The sequence below is a fragment of the Homo sapiens genome, chromosome 4 (assembly GCF_000001405.40).
Source record: "Homo sapiens chromosome 4, GRCh38.p14 Primary Assembly".
Lineage (NCBI taxonomy): Eukaryota > Metazoa > Chordata > Mammalia > Primates > Hominidae > Homo > Homo sapiens.
Window position 1 is genome coordinate 4444063 of NC_000004.12, and position 21973 is coordinate 4466035.

At 41.7% G+C, this 21973-nt stretch overlaps 1 protein-coding gene across 5 annotated transcripts in view; it reads right to left on the reverse strand.

Annotated features, from left to right (window-relative positions):
- The window catches only part of STX18 (syntaxin 18), a 123376-nt gene that overhangs the window by 25095 nt on the left and 76308 nt on the right, over window positions 1-21973 (reverse strand). For 3 of the 5 annotated variants that reach the window (NR_144414.2, NM_001346282.2, NM_016930.4), the window contains exons 3-5: window positions 15310-15425; window positions 13361-13438; window positions 13129-13195 (exon numbers count right to left, since the gene is read on the reverse strand). Coding sequence is in view for 4 of the 5 variants with exons in the window: in NM_016930.4 (NP_058626.1) it covers window positions 13129-13195; window positions 13361-13438; window positions 15310-15425 (261 nt within the window). In the remaining variant the exon portion in view is untranslated. Of the gene's footprint in view, window positions 1-9558; window positions 9612-13128; window positions 13196-13360; window positions 13439-15309; window positions 15426-17843; window positions 17911-21973 lie in introns of those variants that run through there. The other 2 variants (NM_001346281.2, NM_001346300.2) reach the window with 2 other exon arrangements.

Below are 21973 nucleotides of genomic sequence, written 5' to 3' on the forward strand. Positions count from 1 at the left end.
ACTGGGGGCCTTGGGCCACTGTATCAGTGCATGGCAGACACACTTGATGGCAATTTAAGTAATGAGGGCTGCCATGTGGAGGTTGTTTGGCGGGAGGGTGGCTAAGTGAAGGTGTATACAAACTACATTCTTTTTACAAGCAGTAGTGGTTCTCCTGTCCAGCCCACTGCCACTGGACTGCTCTATAAATAAGTTCCCCCAAATAAACTCTGTTTTGTTTGTTGGCTCGGGGTCTCTTCTTCAGCCTCTTTGAACCAAGTGCCATCCCTACTGAAGTTAACAGGGGTCTGGCATGACCATCAGTTTGACCTCTGGAGGGGCTGGAGACTGAGTTAACTACGGCCTGCTATGCTAGCACTTCACATCTACATCACTGACCCCCAATGAAAACCCTGAACACCAAGGCTCAGGTGAGCTTCCCTGATTGACAATACATGGTGACACAGGTATTGGGAGACACATATTGGAAGAATTAAGTGCTGTCTACACTATTCCACTGGGAGAGGACAGCTAGAAGCTTGTACCTGATCTCTCCTGGAGTTTGCCCTATGTGCCTTTTAGCTTTGGTGATTTTAATCTGTATTCTTTCACTATAATATACTGTAACTATGAGTATAATAGTGTTTCTGAGTTCCATGAGTTCTTCTAGCAAATCCCTCAATAAGAAAGGAAATTTCCTTAACCTGATAAAGAACAGCTACATAATACCTACTTCTGTGATATACACATAAAAAAATGAACCACAAATATGAAAACAAACTAACAAACAAATAAACAAACATGGGTGCGCTGGGTGCAGTGGCTCATGCCTATAATCCCAACACTTCATACTTAATGGTGAAGTATTAAATCCTTGTCCCTTAATCAAGAGCAAGGAAAAGATGTCCATCCTAACCACTTCTATTCAACATGGTACCAGAGGTCCAGGCCCTAGCCAGTGCAATAAAACAAGAAAGGAACAAGAAATAAAAGGCATAAAGATTAAAAAGCAAAACTACTGTTATTCACATATGGTATGATTATGTATGTAGAAAATTGATAGAATTTACAATAAAAAGGTCACGTGCAGTGGCTCATGCCTGTAATCCCAGCACTTTAGGAGGCCGAGGCAGGTGGATCACCTGAGGTGAGGTCAGGAGTTCAAGAACAGCCTGGCCAACGAGGTGAAACCTTATCTCTACTAAAATACAAAAATCAGCCGGGCATGGTGGTGGGCGCCTGTAATCCCAGCTACTCAGGAGGCTGAGGCAGGAGAATTGCTTGAACTCGGGAGGTGGAGGTTGCAGTGAGCCAAGATCGAGCGACTGCACTCTAGCCTGGGCAACAAGAACGAAACTACGTCTCAACAACAACAACAAAAACAAAAAACAAAAAAAAAGAAAAGAATTTACAAAAAAAGCTACTAGAACTACATGTGAATTAATCAAAGTTGTAGACAGGTCAATATACAAAAATTAATTGTATTTCTATATACTAGCAACGAGAAACTGGAAAATAACATTAACAAAATGGTATCGTTTACAATAGAATAAAAAAAAAATCCAGGAATAAATCTAACAAAAGATGAGCAAGATGTCTACACTGAAAATAACAAAATATTGCTGAGAAAAAGAAATTTAAAAATAAAGTGGAAGACAGAAATAAATGCAAAGATATACTATGTTTGTGGATAGATGTTAAGATGTCCATTCTCCCCAAATTGATCTATAAATTCAACATAATCCCTATAAACATTCTAGCAGATTTTCTGAAGAAACCGAAAAGCTGATTCTAAAATTGATATGGAAATATACAAAAAATCTAAAATAGCAAAAACAATACTGAAAATTTAGAAATTTGAAGGATTTACAACTAGCTGATTCCAAGACTTATGATAAAACCACAGTAATCAAGACAGTGTGGCAGTAGCATAAGGACAATCAGACCAATGATACTGAATAGAGTCCAGAAACAGACATATACATGTTTGGGTCAACTGACTTTTGATGACGATGCCAGGTCAATTCAATGAGAAAAAGAAAGTGTTTTAAACAAACATTGATATAATAAATAGATATTTATATACAATAAAATAAACCTCAACCCCAGTTATTATATAGAATAAAATAAACCTCAACCCCATTTCATCCTATCAAAAAGTTGGTCTGAGACAGATGATAGACCTAAACATACCACCCAGAATCATAAAGCTTCTAGAAGAAAACATAAAATAATATCTTAGTGACCTTGGGGTAGACAAAGTAAAAATTAATAAAATTCAACTTCCTCAAAATTAAGCATTTCTGCTCACCAAGAGACACCATTAAGAAAATAAATAAACCACAGAATAGGAAAAAATATTTGCAGCATGTATATAAGGATATGTATGCAGAATATACAAAGAACTCCTATACAAATCAACAGCCAAACAATCCTCTAATACAGAAATGAGTAAAAGACTTGAACAGATACTTCACAGGAAGAAAATGAATAGTCAATCAACACATGAAAAGGTGATTAACAATATTAGTCAGTGAGGAAATGCAAACTAAACCCACAATGAAATACCACTCCACATCCAGTAGAATGGCTAGAAAAAATGGCCAATGCCAAATCCTGCCATGTGGAGGAACTGTAACTTTCATACATTGCTGGACAGTGTGTCAAATGGTGTTATCACTCTGGAAAACTTAAGACAGTTTCTTACTAAGTCTAAGAAACATCTCTACTATGACAACCCACTTTTAGTTGTTTACCCAAAAGAAATGAAAAGATAGATCCACACAAAGGCCTATAAAAGAATGTTTACAGCAGCCTTATCCATCATAGCCAAAAAAATGGGAACACCTAAATGTCCACCAACAGGATGGATAAGCCAGTGGGGTTACTTTCATGCAATGCAATACCATTCAGCAATGAAGAAGAACATAGCAAGGGTAAGTCTCAAAAATAAATGTGTTAAGCAAAGGAAAAGCCAGTTAAAAACCTAAAAGAGAAACCTATTTAAAGATAAACTGAGGATCTGCTCCATGTTTGACACTAGGTATACACATATGATTATTAAATTTAGCATCTATGACTTAATATTTTACCTCAAATATTAGTTTTGGGATGTAGGAATTGAGCAACCTGACACATTAGCAAATTTTCAAACTAGCTTGACAAGATACTCATCTGCCAGAATTTTCAGATTTTTTTTTCCAGTTACTAAATGACAAATAGCAAAATTTCTTAGCCTGTTTTCCCACCTATAAAATGGGGCTCTGGGCCGGGCGCGGTGGCTCACGCCTGTAATCCCAGCACTTTGCGAGGCCGAGGCGGGCGGATCACGAGGTCAGGAGATCGAGACCATCCTGGCTAACACGGTGAAACCCCGTCTCTACTAAAAAAATACAAAAAATTAGCCGGGCGTGGTAGCGGGCGCCTGTAGTCCCAGCTACTCGGGAGGCTGAGGCAGGAGAATGGCGTGAACCCGGGAGGCGGAGCTTGCAGTGAGCCGAGATCGCGCCACTGCACTCCAGCCTGGGCGACAGAGCGAGACTCCGTCTCACAAAAAAAAAAAAAAAAAAAAAAAAAAAAAAAAAAAAAAAAAATGGGGCTCTGACTATCTTTCTTGTTAGAGTTACTGCTTTATATGTAAGTGCTAACTCAGCACAGTCTACATCACATAGTAAGAGCTCAAAAAATTAGCTATTACTACAACGATTACACTACTGCTGCTGCTGCTATTATTACTGTGAAATAACAAAAGGCAGAATGGTTAATAAGACAATTTTTTTTGTGAAGTCTTAAAGCAATATACATTTTTTTCCTCTGACAAGATGCAGACCGATGGAGGAACAGAAGAAAACTGCTGAACCAACCCATAAATAATGCAAATAATTCAGAGAAAAGAGTATACTTGTACAATCTGTACAAGGGACTTAGCAGGGTCTTCAGTGCTGGCCCAACTAGCTGCTGATCTTCTGAATGTCACTGTGAAGGGGGAAGGACTGAAGGAGCCTTGACAGAGTAGCAGGGCAGTGGCCTAGGGTGGTGGCCAAAGGCTACTCGAGTGGTAGGGGGCTTTCTCCTTGGCCACACTGCACACCAGACTGACCTGATGCCCTCCCACGCTGTCTTGGCTGTCAGGTTACTCCAGCAATTCTGTAAATCCCATGGCAGTCTGGAGATGAGACTCCTTAAACCACTGGTTTACTGACTGCCTTGAAAAAGACACATTTACAATGGGATTTGGAGCCAACAAAGGGCTTAAATTCTAGAATGCCACTTATTTTTAGTGTGGCCTTGGATGGGTTTTATTTTATGCTTTTTTTTTTTGACAGAGTCTCACTCCATCACCCAGGTTGGAGTGCAGTGGCACGATCTCAACTCACCACAACCTCTACCTTCCAGGCTCAAACGATTCTTGTGCCTCAGCCTCCCGAGTAGCTGGAATTACAGGAGTGCACCACTACACCCAGCTAATTTTTGTATTTTTAGTGGAGGTGGGGTTTTGCCATGTTGACCAGGCTGGTCTCAAACTCCTGATCTCAAGTGATCCACCTGCCTCGGCCTCCCAAAGTGCTGGGATTACAGGCATGAGCCACCGCGCCCAGCCAATTTTATCCTCTTTGTCTAAGTTTTCTTCATCTGCAACATGGAGAAAATACTATCTTTCTCAAAGAGTTCTTTCAAAGATTAAATGAGATCACCCATGAGAAAGTGCCTGGCATGAAGCCTGGCACACAGTAGGTGCTCCCCTGGTTTACCACCTAACCTCTAGGCCTTGGTTTTCTTAACTGTAAAATGGCTTTCAGTATCTTTCATTCCAACCCAACACCACAGGGTTCATTCTGGCTTTATCCCTTTCATTTTTCTGAGTGAGAAACCTGGCTTCCAATATCCTTCCAACAATATCTACTACTAGAGTTGTTGCAAACACTAAAAAAGCAGTAGACCAAAAAAAAAGTTATGAAAAATATTATTACATTACTTCCATTTCTCCCTTGGACCCCATTCTTTTTTTTTTTTTTTTTTTTTTGAGATAAGGTCTCACTCTGTTGTCCAGGCTAGAGTGTAGTGTTGTGATCATAGCTCACTGCAGCCTTGAACTCCTGGGCTTAAGCGATCCTCCCACCTCTGCCTCCTGAGAAGCTGGGACTACAGGTGCATGTCACCACACCCAGCTAATTTTTAAATTTTTTGTAGAGATGGGATCTCACTATATTGCCCGGGTTGGTCTTAAACTCCTGGCCTCAAGCAATCCTCCCTCCCACCTCGGCCTCCCAAAGTGCTGGGATTATAGGTGTGAGCCACTGTGCACGGCACCCCCCCACCCCACTCTATTTTGACCAGTTATCTCAGTAATATCCTTTATAACAACAGCATCACACACTGCTCCTAACTAGTACTTCTCTTCAGTCTCCTTGTTTGGAACAGCTCTTCAGTCTCTCCTTGAGTTTCACGGCCTCAACACACAATAATGTGTCACTTATTCTGTAAGAGATCTCTGAATTTGAGTTTGATGTTTCCTCGCGGTTGGATTCAAGTCATGCTTCTTTGGCAGAAATCACAAAAGTGATGCTTTCTTCTTGCTGCATCCTATTAGGTTGTGTGTGATTTCCCTTTGCCCACTTGATGAAGGTGGTGACTGCTAGGCTTCCCCACTGTCAAGTTATTCTCTTCCCCTTTGTAATTAGTAAGTACCAGGGGGAGCAGTGCTTTGACACTATGTATCAATTTCAATCTTTCAATTTATTCATTTATTTATTCCTATTTAGATGGATTCATAATGTCCTATCTCATTGAATGTGTTATAATGTGCTACTGCCATTTATTTTTATGCTTAAGTTATCTCTAATTTGGCCAGTAGACACCGCTTCAAATTGATGGCTGTGTCCTTTAGACACGTCCTAACATTCTGAGCCCTTCCTTGTTCCAGGTTTATATGTTCCCTGCTCCAGTTTAAGAATCAGCCATTTCCCTAAGAGGCCTGGCTCCCTGAAGGTGAAGTTGGTATTTAGAAGACAAGATCTGAGTGCTAACTACGCTTATTGCTATTACAGTGTCACTGTTTCCAGGCCTCCTCAGTGGCCAGAGCAAGAAAATATATGCATGCATTTTCATACACGCGTATAAATGTGTACATACGTACACATTTACAACCATAGTTACTTCTGTATTGATCTTTGGAAATTGAAAACCGTGAATTCGTGCCAATCTTTCATTTCCACCCAAGACCACAGACAGGGCTTTTCCCCTTTCACTTCTCCTATAGTGAGAAACCTAGCTTTCAATATCCTCCTTTATTTATTTAGAGACAGTGTCTCGCTCTGTTGCTCAGGCTGGAGTGCAGTGGCTCAATATCAGCTCACTGCAACCTGCACCTCCCGAGTCAAGTGATTCTGGTGCCTCAGCCTCCCACATGGCTAGGACTATAGGTCATGCTAATTTTTGTTTTAGTAGAGACGGGGTTTTGCCATATTGCCCAGGCTGGTCCCGAACTCCCGGCCTCAAGCAATCCACCCACCTTGGCCTCCTAAAGTGCTAGGATTACAGGCGTGAGCCACTACATCCAGCCTCCTTCTGTATTTATTATTTGATCTATTCTCCTAAATGTAACCACCCGCCTCTACCACCCCTCTCCATCCCTCTCCAGCACGGATCAGTCCCTCTCCTGGCTTAGGCTATGACTGCCCATGCTAAGCCACCCTCTCCTCCCTGCCCTGGAAAACTGCTGCTCCCCACGACTGCAGACGCCCACCTTACCCCTGCCTCACTGCATGGCTTCAGGACTGACTTCTTCAGGAAGTCAAAGGGCTTCACTGACTTTTAAAATAAAGGACTCCTTTAATGTCTGTCATCCTTTGTGTCCAGAGGATGCTAATGTACAAGTTTCCAATTTAAAAGGAATTAAAGACTACAGTGCAGCAGACTTAGACAAAGTTGAGTGCCTTTCTTTTCTTAAGTGATAAAAACAGATTCTAACTATATACAGAATGTCTACTAAAGTCCCCAGGGAAATTACAAATTAACTAGTTGAAGCCAATTTGGGGGAAAGAAAGCAATTTTTAAAAAGCCATCAGAAAGATCAGTTTATGCCCCATGATTTATTTAAACTGATTTCTCTGACTGAAGGCTGAACATTTCAGAAATGCAATCAACAGTTTCTACCTGGCCAGCATCTGCTTCCAGGTCCCTTGCTTGAAAACCCTCAGGATTTTATTTAAAATTTAAAGAGAACATAAAGAGACAGAAGAGAGACAGATTTTTTCAGTTTTGAAACAAGAAAATATGTGGGAAGTTTTTGCAAACCTTAAATACAGCCTGCTATAATTATTAGACAAAAGTAATTGTTTCAGATTTCAGCGTGGCTCTTATACAGCCGTACCTTGTTTCAGTATGCCTTGCTTTATTGCACTCTGCAGATATTGCATTTTTTGTTTGTTTTTACAAATGGAGGGTATGTGGCAACACTGCATGGAGTAAATCTATTGATGCCATGTTTCCAACAGCATGTTCTCACTTTGTGTCTCTGTCACATTTTGGTAATTCTCAAAATACTTCAAACTTTTTCATTATTATTATATTTCTGATCTGTGATCAGTAATCTCTGATGTGACTTTTGTAACTGTTTTGGAGTGCCACAAAGCACGTTCACATAAGACAGCGTACTTCATAAGTGTTGTGTGTGCTCTGACTGCTCCCCGGCCCAGTTGTTCCCATTTTCTCCTCTCTCTCCCTCTCCTCGGGCCGTCCTATTCCTAGAGACATAACACAGGCCAATGAATAACCCAGCAGCGGCCTCTAAGTGTTCAAGTGAAAGAAGAGTTGCGTATCACTCACTTGAAGTCAAAAGCTAGAAATTATGAATCTTAGTTAGAAGGCAGGTCAAAAGCTGAGACAGGCTAAAAGTTAGACCTCTTGTGCCGAAGAGTTAGCCAAGTTGTGAATGCAAAGGAAAAGTTACTAAAGGAAATTAAAGTGCTACTCCAGTGAATATCCAAATGATAAGAAAGCAAAACAGCCTTATTGCCGATGGGAGAAAGTGTGAGTGGTCTGGAGAGATCAAATCAGTCACAACATTCCCTTAAGCCAAAGCCTAATTCAGCGCAAGGCCCTAACTCTCTTCGATTCTGTGAAGGCTAAGAAAGGTGAGGAAGCTGCAAAAGAAAAGTTGGAAGGCAGCAGAGGTTGGTTCATGACATTTAAAAAAAGAAGTCGATTCCATAATGTAAAAGTACAAGGTGAATTAGCAAGTGCTGACACAGAAGCCGCAATAAGTTATCCAGAAGATCTAACTCAGATAATTGATCAAAGTGGCTATACTAAACAACAGATTTTCAATTTACATAAAACAGCCTTCTATTGGAATTGGAGGTAGATGCCATTTAGGACTTCCATAGCTACAGAGGAGAAGTCAATGGCTGACTTCAATGCTTCAAAGGATAGGGTGACTTTCTTGTTAAGGGCTAATGCAGCAGATGATTTTAAGCTGAAGCCGATGCTCATTTACCATTCCAAAAATCTTGGGCATGGTGGCACATGCCTGTAGTCCCAGCTACTCGAGAGGCTAAGGTGGGAGGACTGCTTGAGCCCAGGAGTTCAAGGCTGCAGTAAGCCATGACTGCCACTGCACTCCAGCCCGGGTGGCAGAGTGAGACCCCAACTCAAAACAAACCAAAAAACCTCACATTTCATAGGCTATAGCTGCTATAGATAGTGATTCCTCTGGCAGATCTGGGTAAAGTAAATTGAAAACCTTCTGAAAAGGTTTCACCATCTTAGACGCCATTAAGAACATTCGTGATTCATGGGAGGAGGTCAAAATATCAACTTTAACAGGAGTTTGGAAGAAGTGGATTCCAACCTTCCTGAATAACTTTGAGGGGTTCAAGACTTCAGTGGAGGAAGTCACTGGAGATGTGGTGGAAACAGCCAGAGAACTAAGATTGGAAGTGGAGACTGAAGATGCGGCTGAGCTGCTGCAATCTCACGATCACACTTGAATGGATAGAAGCTGCTTATTATGGATGAACCAAGAAAGCGGTTTCTTGAGATGGAATCTGCTCTTGGTGAAGAGACTGTGAACATTGTTGAAATAACAAGGAAGGGCTTAGAATATTGCATAAACTTGGTTGACAAAGCAGCAACAGGGTTTGAGAGGACTGACTCAAATTTTGAAAGAAGTTCTGCTATGGGTAAAATGCTATCAAACAGCACTGCACACAATAGAGAAACCTTTTGTGAAAGGAAGACTCAGTTGATGCAGCAAACTTCATTGTTGTCTTATTTTAAAAACTGCCACAACCACCCCAACCTTCAGCAACCCCCACCCTCAATCAGTCAGTAGCCATCAACACTGAGGCAAGGCCCTCTACCAACAAAAAGATTACAACTCACCTAAGGCTCAGACAAACATTAGCACTTTCAGCAATAAAGTATGTTCTGATTAAGGTATGCACATGATTTTTTTTAGACATAATGTTATTGCACACTTTATAGTATAAACATAGCTTTTATATGCACTGGGAAACCAAAATGTCTTTGTGACTTGCTTTATTGTGATATTCACTTTGTTGCTGTCTGGAACCACACCTGTGATATCTCCGAGGTACGCCTGTCCTTCTTTTATGCCTCCAGCAAAGGCTCTGGGTAGAAAGAAGATATTTTTGATATATAATATCATAGTACTATAATTTTAAAACTAGCTTTCAGACAAATGTGTCCACTCAGGCACAGGTACCGTGGACCCCCAAAGCAGGAGATGCTTCACACTACCTCAATGAAGCCACCTTCACCACTACTCACTCACTGAACAGATATTTACTGGGCATACACTACATACTAGGTGACTTTCTAACCCAGTGCTACTCCAAGTGTGGTCCATGGAACAGAACCAGACCATGGACTGTTTGTTACTGGTCTGCTACAAGATAAGTACAAAAATGAAGAGTAAGCATCTAGAAACATAGCATAAATGACACTGCCATTTAATCAGTGGTCTCATTTCGCTGGACAGAGTATAGACAAGCTCAGGAGTTGTCACACTACTGTGGTGAGTTACTGTGGCTGTTGTCCAGGCACATGCCATGCTGTCTAGCCTTTGTAAGACATGGAAGCAAGGGAGTGATAAAATCACATGTACGTTTTAGGCAGATGCCTTCTGCCTAAAGATGAGGAAAGGACAAGAAGGAGGGTGCTGAACTACATTGTGAAGGGTCACATCATTATTTCCCTCAAGGTCTTTTGTGCAAAGTAATTGGCACAGGGCAGCTAACTATGTGGCAGGAGACAAGGCTATACTTCGCTGTCTAAATGAGAACAATTCCCATCTGACTGATATTAATTTGTATTTTAGTCAAGGCCTCTGCTGAGAAACAAGAACTAAGGTAGCAGCAAAAATCTCTTCTTACTTTACTTGGGTACCTGTGAAGTCCACTTGGGATAGTGAAGGAGAAATCCGCATTCCTCTCCCTGGTGAGTGTGAGACCCAGTGACCACCACACCATCTTGATGACAAATCACGCATCATCAGAGGCCTACCTCCTTCTCCGTAATGTCTTGGAGCTAACTGGTCTCATCGTGTCCCAGATCTTCAGTTCAAACTCTTCCCCAAGTCTGGACTGCTTTCTATCTCTCTAATTCACACACCCAGATATTTTTCTTTTGACAGCCAACACAAACCCCATTGCTTGAGAAATCTGCTCCAATTACCCTGAGATTCAAATCTTGATTCAGCTGTGATGCTGGACAGCTAACCCAAATTTGCTGAGCCCCAATATCCTAATTTAGAAAATGAAATACTAATATTTAAAGATATGGTGGCTTTTTGAGGATTAATGAAATAAAATAATATACTGCCTGGCACATGGTAAATGCTTAGTGGTAGATAATAGTACAAATTAACATTTATTAACTCACTGTAAGTGTTTTATCTGTATCTTCATTTTGTTCTCACAACAGCACTACAAGTTAGGTACTATGAGTTTTCCCATTTTATAGGTAAGGAAACAAAAGCCCAGAAAAGTTAAGCAACCTGCTCAAAGTCACACAGTTTGAAAGTGGCAGAGCCAGGATTCAAACACAGGCTGTCTGGTTGCAGAGTCTGGCTCTTAGGCATTATACTATGCCACTTGATCGTACCATTTCCCCCTCTGAGCTTACTACCGATTTCACTAATTATGACATATCCTGATTAAGCTGACTAATTTTTCATGTTTAATAGCAACCCAGCCTGCTTCTAAGCTCTCTAAGCACAAAGACTTAATCTATGGCTTCTCTCAAGCTACCCTCTCAGTGCATTATATAATAGTAGCTGTTGCTGACAGATAACTTGACTGATCTGCTTACTATCTTCCACAAATGCTTCTATTTGTTGGCATTAACAATTTCACATCTGTTTCACAAATGTGCAGAAAAGGGTTCATGTAGTAGGCCTGAGGCTGCTATCCTTAGAAAGGCCTGCTTGCAAGGTTAACCCTTGCCTGGCATCTGAGAAGTTGGACTTTGGCAGAGTTCATGCCATCCTAATTGATAAAAACAGCTCGCCGTGCCTGAACTGTTTTGCAAAACATGCGGTTTGAATGCAGTTCAGTGCTGAGCACCTGCTTTCCTCCTGGGAGTCTAGAGTTTCGGTAGATGCCAGGTGTGAGGTGCCTATGTGACCAGCCCCTAACAGAATCCTTGGGCAATGAGTTACTAATGAGCTTCCCTGGTAGACAACACTTCACGTGTTGTCATAGGTCACATGCTGTGTGACTCCACTGGGAGAGTACTCTTAGAAGCTCATGCCTGGTTTCCTCTGGACTTTTGTCCCACATGCCTTTTCCTTTGCTGTTTTGCTTCGTATCCTTTCAGTGTGACAAATCATAGCCAGGAGCAGGACTGTATGTTGAGTCCCATGAGACCTCTTAGTGAATCCTAGAACCAGAGAGTAGTGCTGGGGACCCCTGACACAGTAAGAATTTAAAAAATGTGGGCCAGACATGGTGGCTCACGCCTGTAGTCCAGCACTTTGGGAGGCAGGGGGATTGCCTGAGCCCAGGAGTTTGACAGCAGCCTGGGCAACATAGTGACATCCCACCCTTATAAAATAAAATTAAAAAATAGGCAGACATGGTAGCACATGCCTGTAATCCCAGCTACTCGGAAGGCTAAAGTGGGAGGATTGTTTGAGCCCAGGAGGTCGTGCCACTGCACTCCATCCTGGGAGACAGGGTGAGACCCTGTCTCAAAAACAAAAAAAACAAAAAAAAACAAAAAAGAAAATGTGTCCCCAAACAGTTATGTGATGTTATCTTCTGAAAGAACATCCTAAAACCTTTCTAAAGCTAGTCTAGAAATGGTCCAGGTTTGGATACTTGCTCACTGATGTATTCCATCTCCAAGACTGGCTGAGTTGCAGCGGGAACGACTGTGAGGACACAGCTCTTGCATTCCAGATGCTCATGTGAGCCCAGAGGGGAAACCAGGCAGGCGCCATGGAAAATACAGGAGCCTGGCCCTCCTGCTTCCTGTGGCCTTGGATGAGTCATTTACCCTGCTGGAGCGTCAGCGTCCTTACCTGCTGACAGGGCTCCTAATAGTGCCTGCATGGGACAGGTAGTGGGGTTGGAGGGAGGTGTGCACTCAGAGCATGTGGCATCGAGCAAGTCTGTCACAGGTGACCTGAGGACAGCCTTGTGGTGGCCTGCTTGTTGTGCCCTCGCTCTTCTCTCAGGAATACACTTTCAGGGACGACAAGAAGGGGTATGGGGGTCAAAGAGATTGAGGTAAAATGGCTCAAGATGTGCCAGCCTCATCGGGTTAAGAGACAAAATGGGCAAGAGCACAGATTTTGGACCAACAGCCTAGGCTCAAACCCCAGCTATGCTACCTGTGGGACTGTGGGATCTAGGGTGAGTGGCCAAGCCTCCTGAGCCTCAACTTCCTCATTTGTAAAATGAGGGAGGAAACAGTACCTGCCTCATGGGGGTTTGTTGTGGGCCAATAAAGTGGCTGGCATGCTGCCTGGCACACAGTGAGTGCCCGGTAGCGCCAGCTATGGCATTTTGCGAAGAAGTTCAAACACGGTACATTGCATAGGGTAAGTGCTCTACAAACTTTAACTGCTATTATTAGTAGTACTATTATTAATTAAGAAACACCAATGAAAGCAATACTTACAATCTTTTCTTATCCACCACTCTTTTAACTCGGATGGCTCTCTGTTCTGAGTAAAGTTTACATACTCCTGTTGCAGAAGAAAATACCAGAAGAGAGACTGCTTAAAACAGCTTCTCAGGCAAAGCCATCATTAAATATAATGAGATACTACAGTCTTCAGCTAGCAAAGCTAAATTCTGCATCACATCTATTGTGAAATGTTACATTTGACCTTTAAAAGAAAATGAAATACTTTTCAAGTAATCTTCAATGAAATCCAAAACAGCGGTCCTGTGCTCCTTCACTTGCTGGGAATGTATCTCCTTGTGAGCTGTAACAGAAAAAGACAATGTTCAGGCCTTCGCACTCAATTATCCTAAAGAGCAATTCATCAGCTTCCTCACAACACTTTCTTTATTGAGAGTATTTTTTAAAACACAGCTATAAAACAAGTCTTGTGCCAAGTGACACTACATTTTTAAAACAGTAAGATGTATCAGGCTTCGCAAGAGTGAAAGATTAAACCTGTAGAAAATCTATAGTCAAATAATTTATGGTTTATCAGAACACTTAAGGATAGTATTTGACGCAGCCACTTCTTGAGTGCTGACCCCATCTGTGTTAACAGCATCCAATGCTCAAGCTGACCTTCAGCGAACATGTTTAAACAACTGAAATCACACACTCCTCCCTGCTTGAACCTGTGCTGCTTTTCAGCCTGTAGTGCCCCATCCTCTCCCCTTGGCCACTCACATTCTAAGGGTCCCTTAGACAATGAGTCAAACTTTCTGTCTCCAGGAAACCTATGACTCCTAGCCACAAAGATGCCTTTCTCCTGGGAACTACCACACAGAAGTGTGCTAAAAGGCCTTACCAGACCTAAAGTCTGTGCCACTGGTTTTGGTAAGATAGTGACCACTGACTGAGAGACTGAGTGCCTACTGCGTGCAGGTACTCTGCTAGCACTTTACATATGTACTGCTAGTAATTACAATAGCAATTCCGAGTTTCCTGATTTTTACACGTGAAGAAACTAAGGTTCAGAGGCAATAAATAGCCCAAGGTTAGATGGTTTCATATGTAAATGTAGGTTTTGTTAAATATTCCTGTGCATTTTTTAGGTCTCTCAATGAATGTATATGCCCTTAAGGGTAGAGGGCATGATTTCTGCCTTACTATAGGGCTGCTTAACCCAAGATTTGTGTGGGGGACTCAGGAGCTCTGTGAAATTGCATATAGAATTTTGTGTATGTACATTTTTCTGGCAAGAATGCCTATTGCTTCCATCAGAGTCTCCAAGTGGTCCGTCAGCATTCTAATAAAAACCTCCCCAACAAAAGTCTGTGTTGTGAGCACAACAGCATCTGGCAGCTTTGAACTCTACTTACTATTTAATGTACTCTGTAAATGCCTAAGCAAATTAAAAAAGAATCAAGAAAGAGGCGTGACTTGGGAAGCCATCTCATTGTCTCAGTGAGAATTAAACATCAACGAAAGTGAGATAATAAGCGCTCTTGTGCCAGACACAGTTCTAAGCATGCTGTAGGAATTTAACTTAATGCTCATAACAACCCTAGAGATACATTCCCTAATTGTCTGCATTTCATAGACAAAAAAACAAGGCCCAGGGAGATTAAGTGATTTGCAGAGGGCTATATGGCTCGGACGGGTGGAGTTGGGGTGCAACCTAAGCAGCCCTGGCTCCAGAGCCTTCCTCCTAACCTTGAAGGTTTGATAGGAAAGTTTACTTGAATATTACAAGTAGAGCTTAAGTACCCCAGGCTGCTGTCAACTCCCATCCCACTAAATGCCACACAGAACAGAGGCACACATGTGCATACACACATACACACCCACACACATACAATTTGCCACACAGAACACACACACACGCACACACACACACACACACACACACACAAATTTGTCTTCACTGCCCCTGGCCCCTAGATATATTTTTGGTTCTGTTTGGAGAGGTCCTTTCCATCTCCCTCCTCTCATTGGTTTAACTTGAATGATACAGCCTTTGCAGTACTTTTAACAGCTTTGGTTAAAACATTGATCAAGAAAGAAAAGATTTTAACGTTTTAAAACCTAAATCGAAATAAGAAGAGGGAATTTTAACTGGCCGCACCATATGCATCTTGTTTAACTACTTGCTATATTCATGGTTGCTTGTTTGCATCTTTCAGAGCACTTTACCTTCTGTTCGTAGTTGCTGAATTGCTTCTGAACAGGTCCTCATGAATATCTGGGCATCCTGGTCTATCTGGTCTCGTTCTGTGTCTGTCATCCTCCCATATTCAGACATGGTATGGCTAAAAAAAGACAGCAAAGGAAAGGGCAGCAGCAAATGAGAACATAATATAGTCTGAGTGGGATGGGAAGAGAAGAAAAGGCCTCCCTGATCAGGTGACATTTAAGCTGAGACTTGAAGGGTGAGGAGGAACAGGCCAGGTGAAAAGGTGAGAGAACCATCTAGATAGATAGTAGAACACATATGAAGGGTGTGTGGTAGAAAATCCTCCGGAATAGACCCAACTGACGTAAGCCAGATGGGGAGAGGGAGAGGGAGAAGGAGCGTGGAGTCAGGGCTACAGCATAAGCCAGGCTTATAAAGAATGTAGGCTCTGCTTTTGAGAACAATGGCGCAGCTACTGAAGGGTCTCACACTACAAAATGACTGAATCAGAGGGTGGAGGGTGTTCCCTAAACATTCCAGGCACACTCCCACCTCAGGACCTTTACATGTGTTGGTTGTCTCCTCCTTCTGGAATGTTCTTTCCCCAGATAGCTGCATCAATGCATCCCTTACTTCTTTTAGGTGTTTACTCCATGTTGCCCTCTTAATGAGGCCTTCCCTAATCCTTCTTTATAAACTGTCCCCTCCCTGACATTTTCTATCCCACTTCCCTTCTTCCTTCCCCGTAAAGATACTTACCCCACTCTAACATTCCATATATTTTGTGTAATTATTTCTTTTCTTGCCTGTCTCTCCCCTCTAAAAACGTAAGTTCCACAAAGGCAAGGACTTCTGTTTGTTCACTGCTGTATCCCCATCATCAAGAGCAATGCCTAGCATTTTTAATAGGCTGATCAATTAATAAATCAGTAATAAATACTTTTGAATGAACTGAACCAATGAATGAGCCTGAGTTGGAGAATATGCTTGATACACAGCTACGACTGTGCTCCCTAGTAAGTTCCTCCTAAACCGATTTTTCCCCCCACCCCAAGACAGGTAGGCATCCCCCTCCCAAAGCCTTCTCTAGGAAACTTAAGGCACAAACAAACAGGGAATACATCCATCCTGAGGACAGGCCCTTCTAAAAAAGAAAGGGGTAAGATGAGCACGAAGTCCTTCTCACTCCCAATCACCAGATAAGCATCCTCTCCTCCCTTGGAGTCACCCCTATCCCACGGCCCCTACCCCACTTCCATATTTTCTAAGGAAGAGTTGGAAAAAGAAATCCCACAGCCTCCAGCCTCCTAGGGAATAGATGATCCTCTCTCAGTGGAACTTGAAGAGTGACATGGAATTAGTTCCTTATTCCAATGCTCCTTAGGATCTTGTTCTATTAGTTACTTAGGCTTGGGATGGCAACCATGAGAGAATGGACTCTGTCCGAGGGAAGACCCAACAGTGAGACAAAGGCGCTAAGCCAGCAAGCTCGATCCCCTCTCCCCAACCCCAGCCCACCTCCAACACCAGATGAATGGCTCCCCTCTGGGGAGGAGCCAGAGTGGCAAGCAGAGGGGCCAAAGCCTTAGGTTCATCCCTACTAGGAACCTTCTCATCGGAAATAGAGGCTAACGGGGTCAGGGACAAATGAGTCAGAAAGGTACCAACTCAGTGAATATGTACCCTGCAGACAGAACAGACCTAGAAATGACTAGTTCCAAGAACATTCGATTAACATCCTCCTACTCTATATTTTGATTTAATGGAAACTCAGCTCAGTGAAATTGAAAAGGTCTAAAGGTTAATTTGATAAAACTGATTATTTAATTAAAAGGTAATGTTCCTTTAGGAAACATTATATATATACATTAACCTTCTAAATTGAAAATTGACAGTATGGTTATTCTATTAGTAAGAACAACAGAAACCAAGGAAGTTTTTTCTCCCAGATTGTTTTGTTGCCAGGATATTGTGGAAAAAGTCCATCTACCAGAAGTGGAGACATTATTTTTAATTAAAATCATTCAGAGATCTAGCCACAGGCTATCTAGGTTACATGCTGTTCTGCTCTAGTAAAATGTCATTATTAAAAAAAAATTAAATGGGTCAATAAAGTCTGAGCTCTACATTCTGGAAAAAATTACAGCTTCCTAATTATGTCAAACTAACAAAGCCTCATAGGTCTGAAGGCAGTATTTCTACACATATTCTTTCAATTCCATGATCATACTCCACATAAAATGTTCCTAGGAGCAGGCCAAGGCTAGCACATTGCACTGGGAGGGCAGAAGAGTAAAAAAGAAAGGCTTTAAGCAGTCTACCACCTTTGGGAGGGAGAACTTGATGAGAGACAATAAGGGTGGTCTTTCTCCACCTGGACAGAACCTGGGCTACCGGGGGGAATGCTTATTCCCTAATCCTCATGTTTCTGTGGGAACCAACTTCCCCAAATGACACCTTGCCTCCTCCCAGAGCCTCCTCCCTCTGGCCCCCTCGCAGAAAGCATGGGGTGTGCATATAGTCACCACACCTTTCTCTCCTCTCTTTTACCTACTTAGAGACAGCAGAGGTTCCGCTCTGTTCCTCTCTCTCCTATGTTGCAAAGGGGCCTGTCCCTGCTGTCTGTGCTCCAGGGGCTGCGGCTGCGCAGTGGCACTAATGCCTGAGTGTGTCTAATTCAAGAGCAGAGTATCAACAAGGCCACCCGCCTGCAAACCAAAGCTTTGTTTGCTGACCTAGATTTTACCAATGATAAAGCTGATATGACACGTGGGTCTCCACTGTGTTGATCTGACTCCTGCCTCCATTTCTTTCTTTCTCCCTCCTCCCAGCTCTCTGGCAGGAAACAGAGGTGGGTTTTGTCTTGTTCAATAACCAACACCCTCCAACCCCCTGCAACTGCAGCATAGGTCAAATGGGGTTCCAATTCAATTATCATTCACCAGGAGACTTCTATGTGTCAGGAACTCTCATACCCACCTAATTTAATCCTCACGAGAACATCATCCACATTTTATAAAAAAGAAAACTAGCACAAAGGCAAGTTATATTCATTCACATGATAAATACATGGCAGGATTGGGACTGGAACTTAGGTGTGACTGACCCCAAAGCCCATGCTCTTTCACAGGGACCAAAACAGGGGGTGGAGTAGAATTCAGTGTGCATGAGTTGGCAATGAACAACTGGCCTCGGGAAAATGAGTAAAAGATAAAAGACTGAGTTTCTAGCTGGGTATCATGTCATATGCCTATAGTCCCAACTACTCAGGAGGCTGAGGCAGGAGGATCACTTGAGCTCAGGATTTTGAAGCTAACCTGGACAACATAGCAAAACCACCTTAAAAAAAAAAAAAAGACTGAGTTTCTAGAATGAGGCGATGTACCTAACAAAATGAAGAATGCCTCGGGGACAACAGTTCTATCTTCTGAAGTTATCTGCCCTTAAGTGGCAGAGCTGGCACTGGCCCCTAGGGAACCCAATCCTCAGTCCTAGCATTTGCTGCCCTTGTAGCTGGGAAAGGGGAAGGCTTAGGCCCTTCTTTACTGTACTAAGATGAGAATCCATGCTGCAGTAGTCTGGGAACACTGAAAAACAGTGTGCAGGAGCCTCCTTTTGCTGTTTGAGTATAATAACTGCCTTAACATCACTATTACATCGAAAGCTTAAAACAACTGCAAAGTTGCAGAAGAACACCCGGATGCCACTGTGTTGTTCTTTTCACATTGCATTTGAATCATACTGTCTGCTTTGAACCTCTCAACTGCTTCCTGAGTGAGTATCCCTCCCACTGTTGGCTTTGCAAATTTTTTCTGAAAAGGGCCAGAGAGTAAACATGTTAGACTTTGTGGGCCTTGTAGCCCATCACAGCTACTCAACTCTGCTGTTGTAGCATAAAAACAGCCCTAGACAATATGTAAACAAATGAACGTGGCTGTGTGCCAATAAAACTTTATTATGGGCACTGAAACTTGAATTTCACATAATGTTCACATGTGATAAAATATCCTTATTACTTTTTCCCCAACATTAAAATATGTAACTACATTTAAAAGTATATTTAAAATGTAGATTTGGCCTGTGGCTGTTATTTGCTGACCTGTAGCATTAGAGGAAGACACTGAGTTTCACAGATTCACATGGTTCGTAAGGAGTGGTGTGAATCAAACCAACACTCTAAGCATTTACTTTGCTGGATTTCTTTTCAAGGAAAAGGGAAGTTAATAAGTGATTTGTATGAAAGATATTTACAACCACCTCGTCAACCTAACTTGTCAGATACTAAAGAAAGAAGCTACAAATTGAGAGCTTTATACAAGTTTTGTAAAGTTTTACAAAATCACTGTAGCTTCCATTTTTTACAGCCTATCAAATCAGTATTTGATACACATACACACCTTTAGAAATAAAATTGACACTGCGATCTAGTGTTAACCAACTATTTTTAACTCAGAGCTTAAAAATAAGGTTTTCTTGGTACTATGCATCGGAATAATTATTTTAGTATATTCCAAAATAATGCAAATGAAGTGCATTTAAAAGCATAAAATTGCCTATGGATGTTAAGTGCAAGTAGACAAAGCATCAAGGATTATTTAAAATTCAACTAGGGTATAATTATTTTTCTCTATTGGAGAATTTATAAGAAGTATTTCCATTTTTGCATATATTGACAAAGTTAAAAAAAAGCAGGATTTATTTTATATTCTCTATCTTTGTGACAGGAATGCTTCTGAAAGGCAACCACCCCTCGTTTTATAAAGATGAAATCCTAAAAAGATGCTCCTAATGATGTTATCTTATCTGTCAAATCCAACTTTTTCATTAATTTACATAATACATTTGAAGATGAGTCCTACGGTAAAATGCCATCCTAAAGCCAGTGCAAATGGAGCTAGGGGAAGAGACGAGACAAGACACCTGTACTCCCACTGTCTATGGAGAGCTGGAGTCTATTCCAGAAAGCGTTTTAGAAGTGTTGCTTATAATGTTTTTTTCTCTTTTTCTTTCCAAATGGCATTTTCGATGACTTGCATCATTCCTTCATCTGCTCGATAAATATTTAGTGTGTGAGAAACTATCTTTTTCATCTCTGCATGTTTCACTACAGGACAGACGCTGTCTGCAGGGTGTATGCACGTGCCAACCCCTTTGCATTTGGATTCCCTTCCCTCCTTCTTGCTTTACCTAGGTAACTCGTACTCCTTCAGAGCTCAGCTCAAATGTCACTTCTTTAAGGACACTTTCTCTGACAAGGCTAAATTCCTCAAAAGCTACCTGTTTGCAGTAGTTTCAAAGAACTTCTTGATTTCTGCCTTAATTTCATTATTTACCCAAGAGTCATTCAGGAACAGGTTGTTTGATTTCCATGCAGTTGTATACCTGTGGGGTCAGTGGTGACATCCCTCTTAACATTTCTAACTGTGTTTATTTAAATCTTCTCTCTTTTCTTCTTTATTAGTCTAGCTAACAGTCTATCTCATTAATTTTTTGCAAAAACCTGGATTTTTCCAAAAAAGTGGCTCCTGGATTCATTGATTTTTTCGAAGCGTTTTTTTTTTTGTGTGTGTCTCTATCTCCTTTAGTTCAGCTCTGATCTTGGTTATTTCTTGTCTTCTGCTAGCTTTGGGGTTTGTTTGCTCTTGGCTCTTGTTCTTTTAGTTTTGATGTTAGGTGTTAACTCGAGATCTTTTTAGCTTTTTGATGTGGGCATTTAGTGCTATAAATTTCCCTTTTAACACTGTGTTAGCTGCATCCCAGAGATTCTGGTAAGTTTTATCTTTGTTCTGTTGGTGGGAGCATAAATTAGTTCAACCACTGTGGAAGACAGTGTGGCGATTCCTCAAAGACCTAGAGGCAAAAATACCATTTGACCCAGCAATCCCATTACTGGGTATCTACCCAAAGGGATACAAATCATTCTATTATAAAGACACATGGACAAGTACTTGTATGTTCATCACTGCATTATTCACAATAGCAAAGACATGGAATCAACCTAAATGCCCATCAATGAATGATAGACTGGATCAAGAAAATGTGGAACATATACATCATGGAATACTATGCAGCCATAAAAAGGAATGAGATGATGTCCTTTGCAGGGACATGGATGGAGCTGGAATCCATTATCCTCAGCAAACTAACGTAAGAACAGAAAACCAAATACCACATGTTCTCACTTATAAATGGGAGCTGAATTATGGGAACGCATGGACATGAGGCGGTGGGGAACAATACAAACTGGGGCCTGTTGGAGGATCAGGGGTGGGAGAAGGGAGAGCATCAGGAAGAATAGCTAATGGATGCTGGGTTTAATACCTGGGTGATGGGATGATCTGTGCAGCAAACCACCATGGCACACATTTACCTATGTAACAAACCTGCACATCCTACACATGTACCCAGGAACTTAAAAGTTGGAAAAATAAAAAGCTATCTGTACTGTTTTTGCAGTACCTATCATATCTGCAATGTTACCTGTTGACATGAATACCTTAGCAGCTCCATGAAGGCAGGGACAACCATGTTTGTGTTTGTTCACTATTTTATACTCCATGCCTGGCATAGTCTATGGCACATGGTAGGCACTCAATAAATAACTGCAGAATGAATAAGCTGATTAATGAATCAAATTGATCAAATCATGGCACTATAAACATGCAGAGATGAGTAGGACACAGT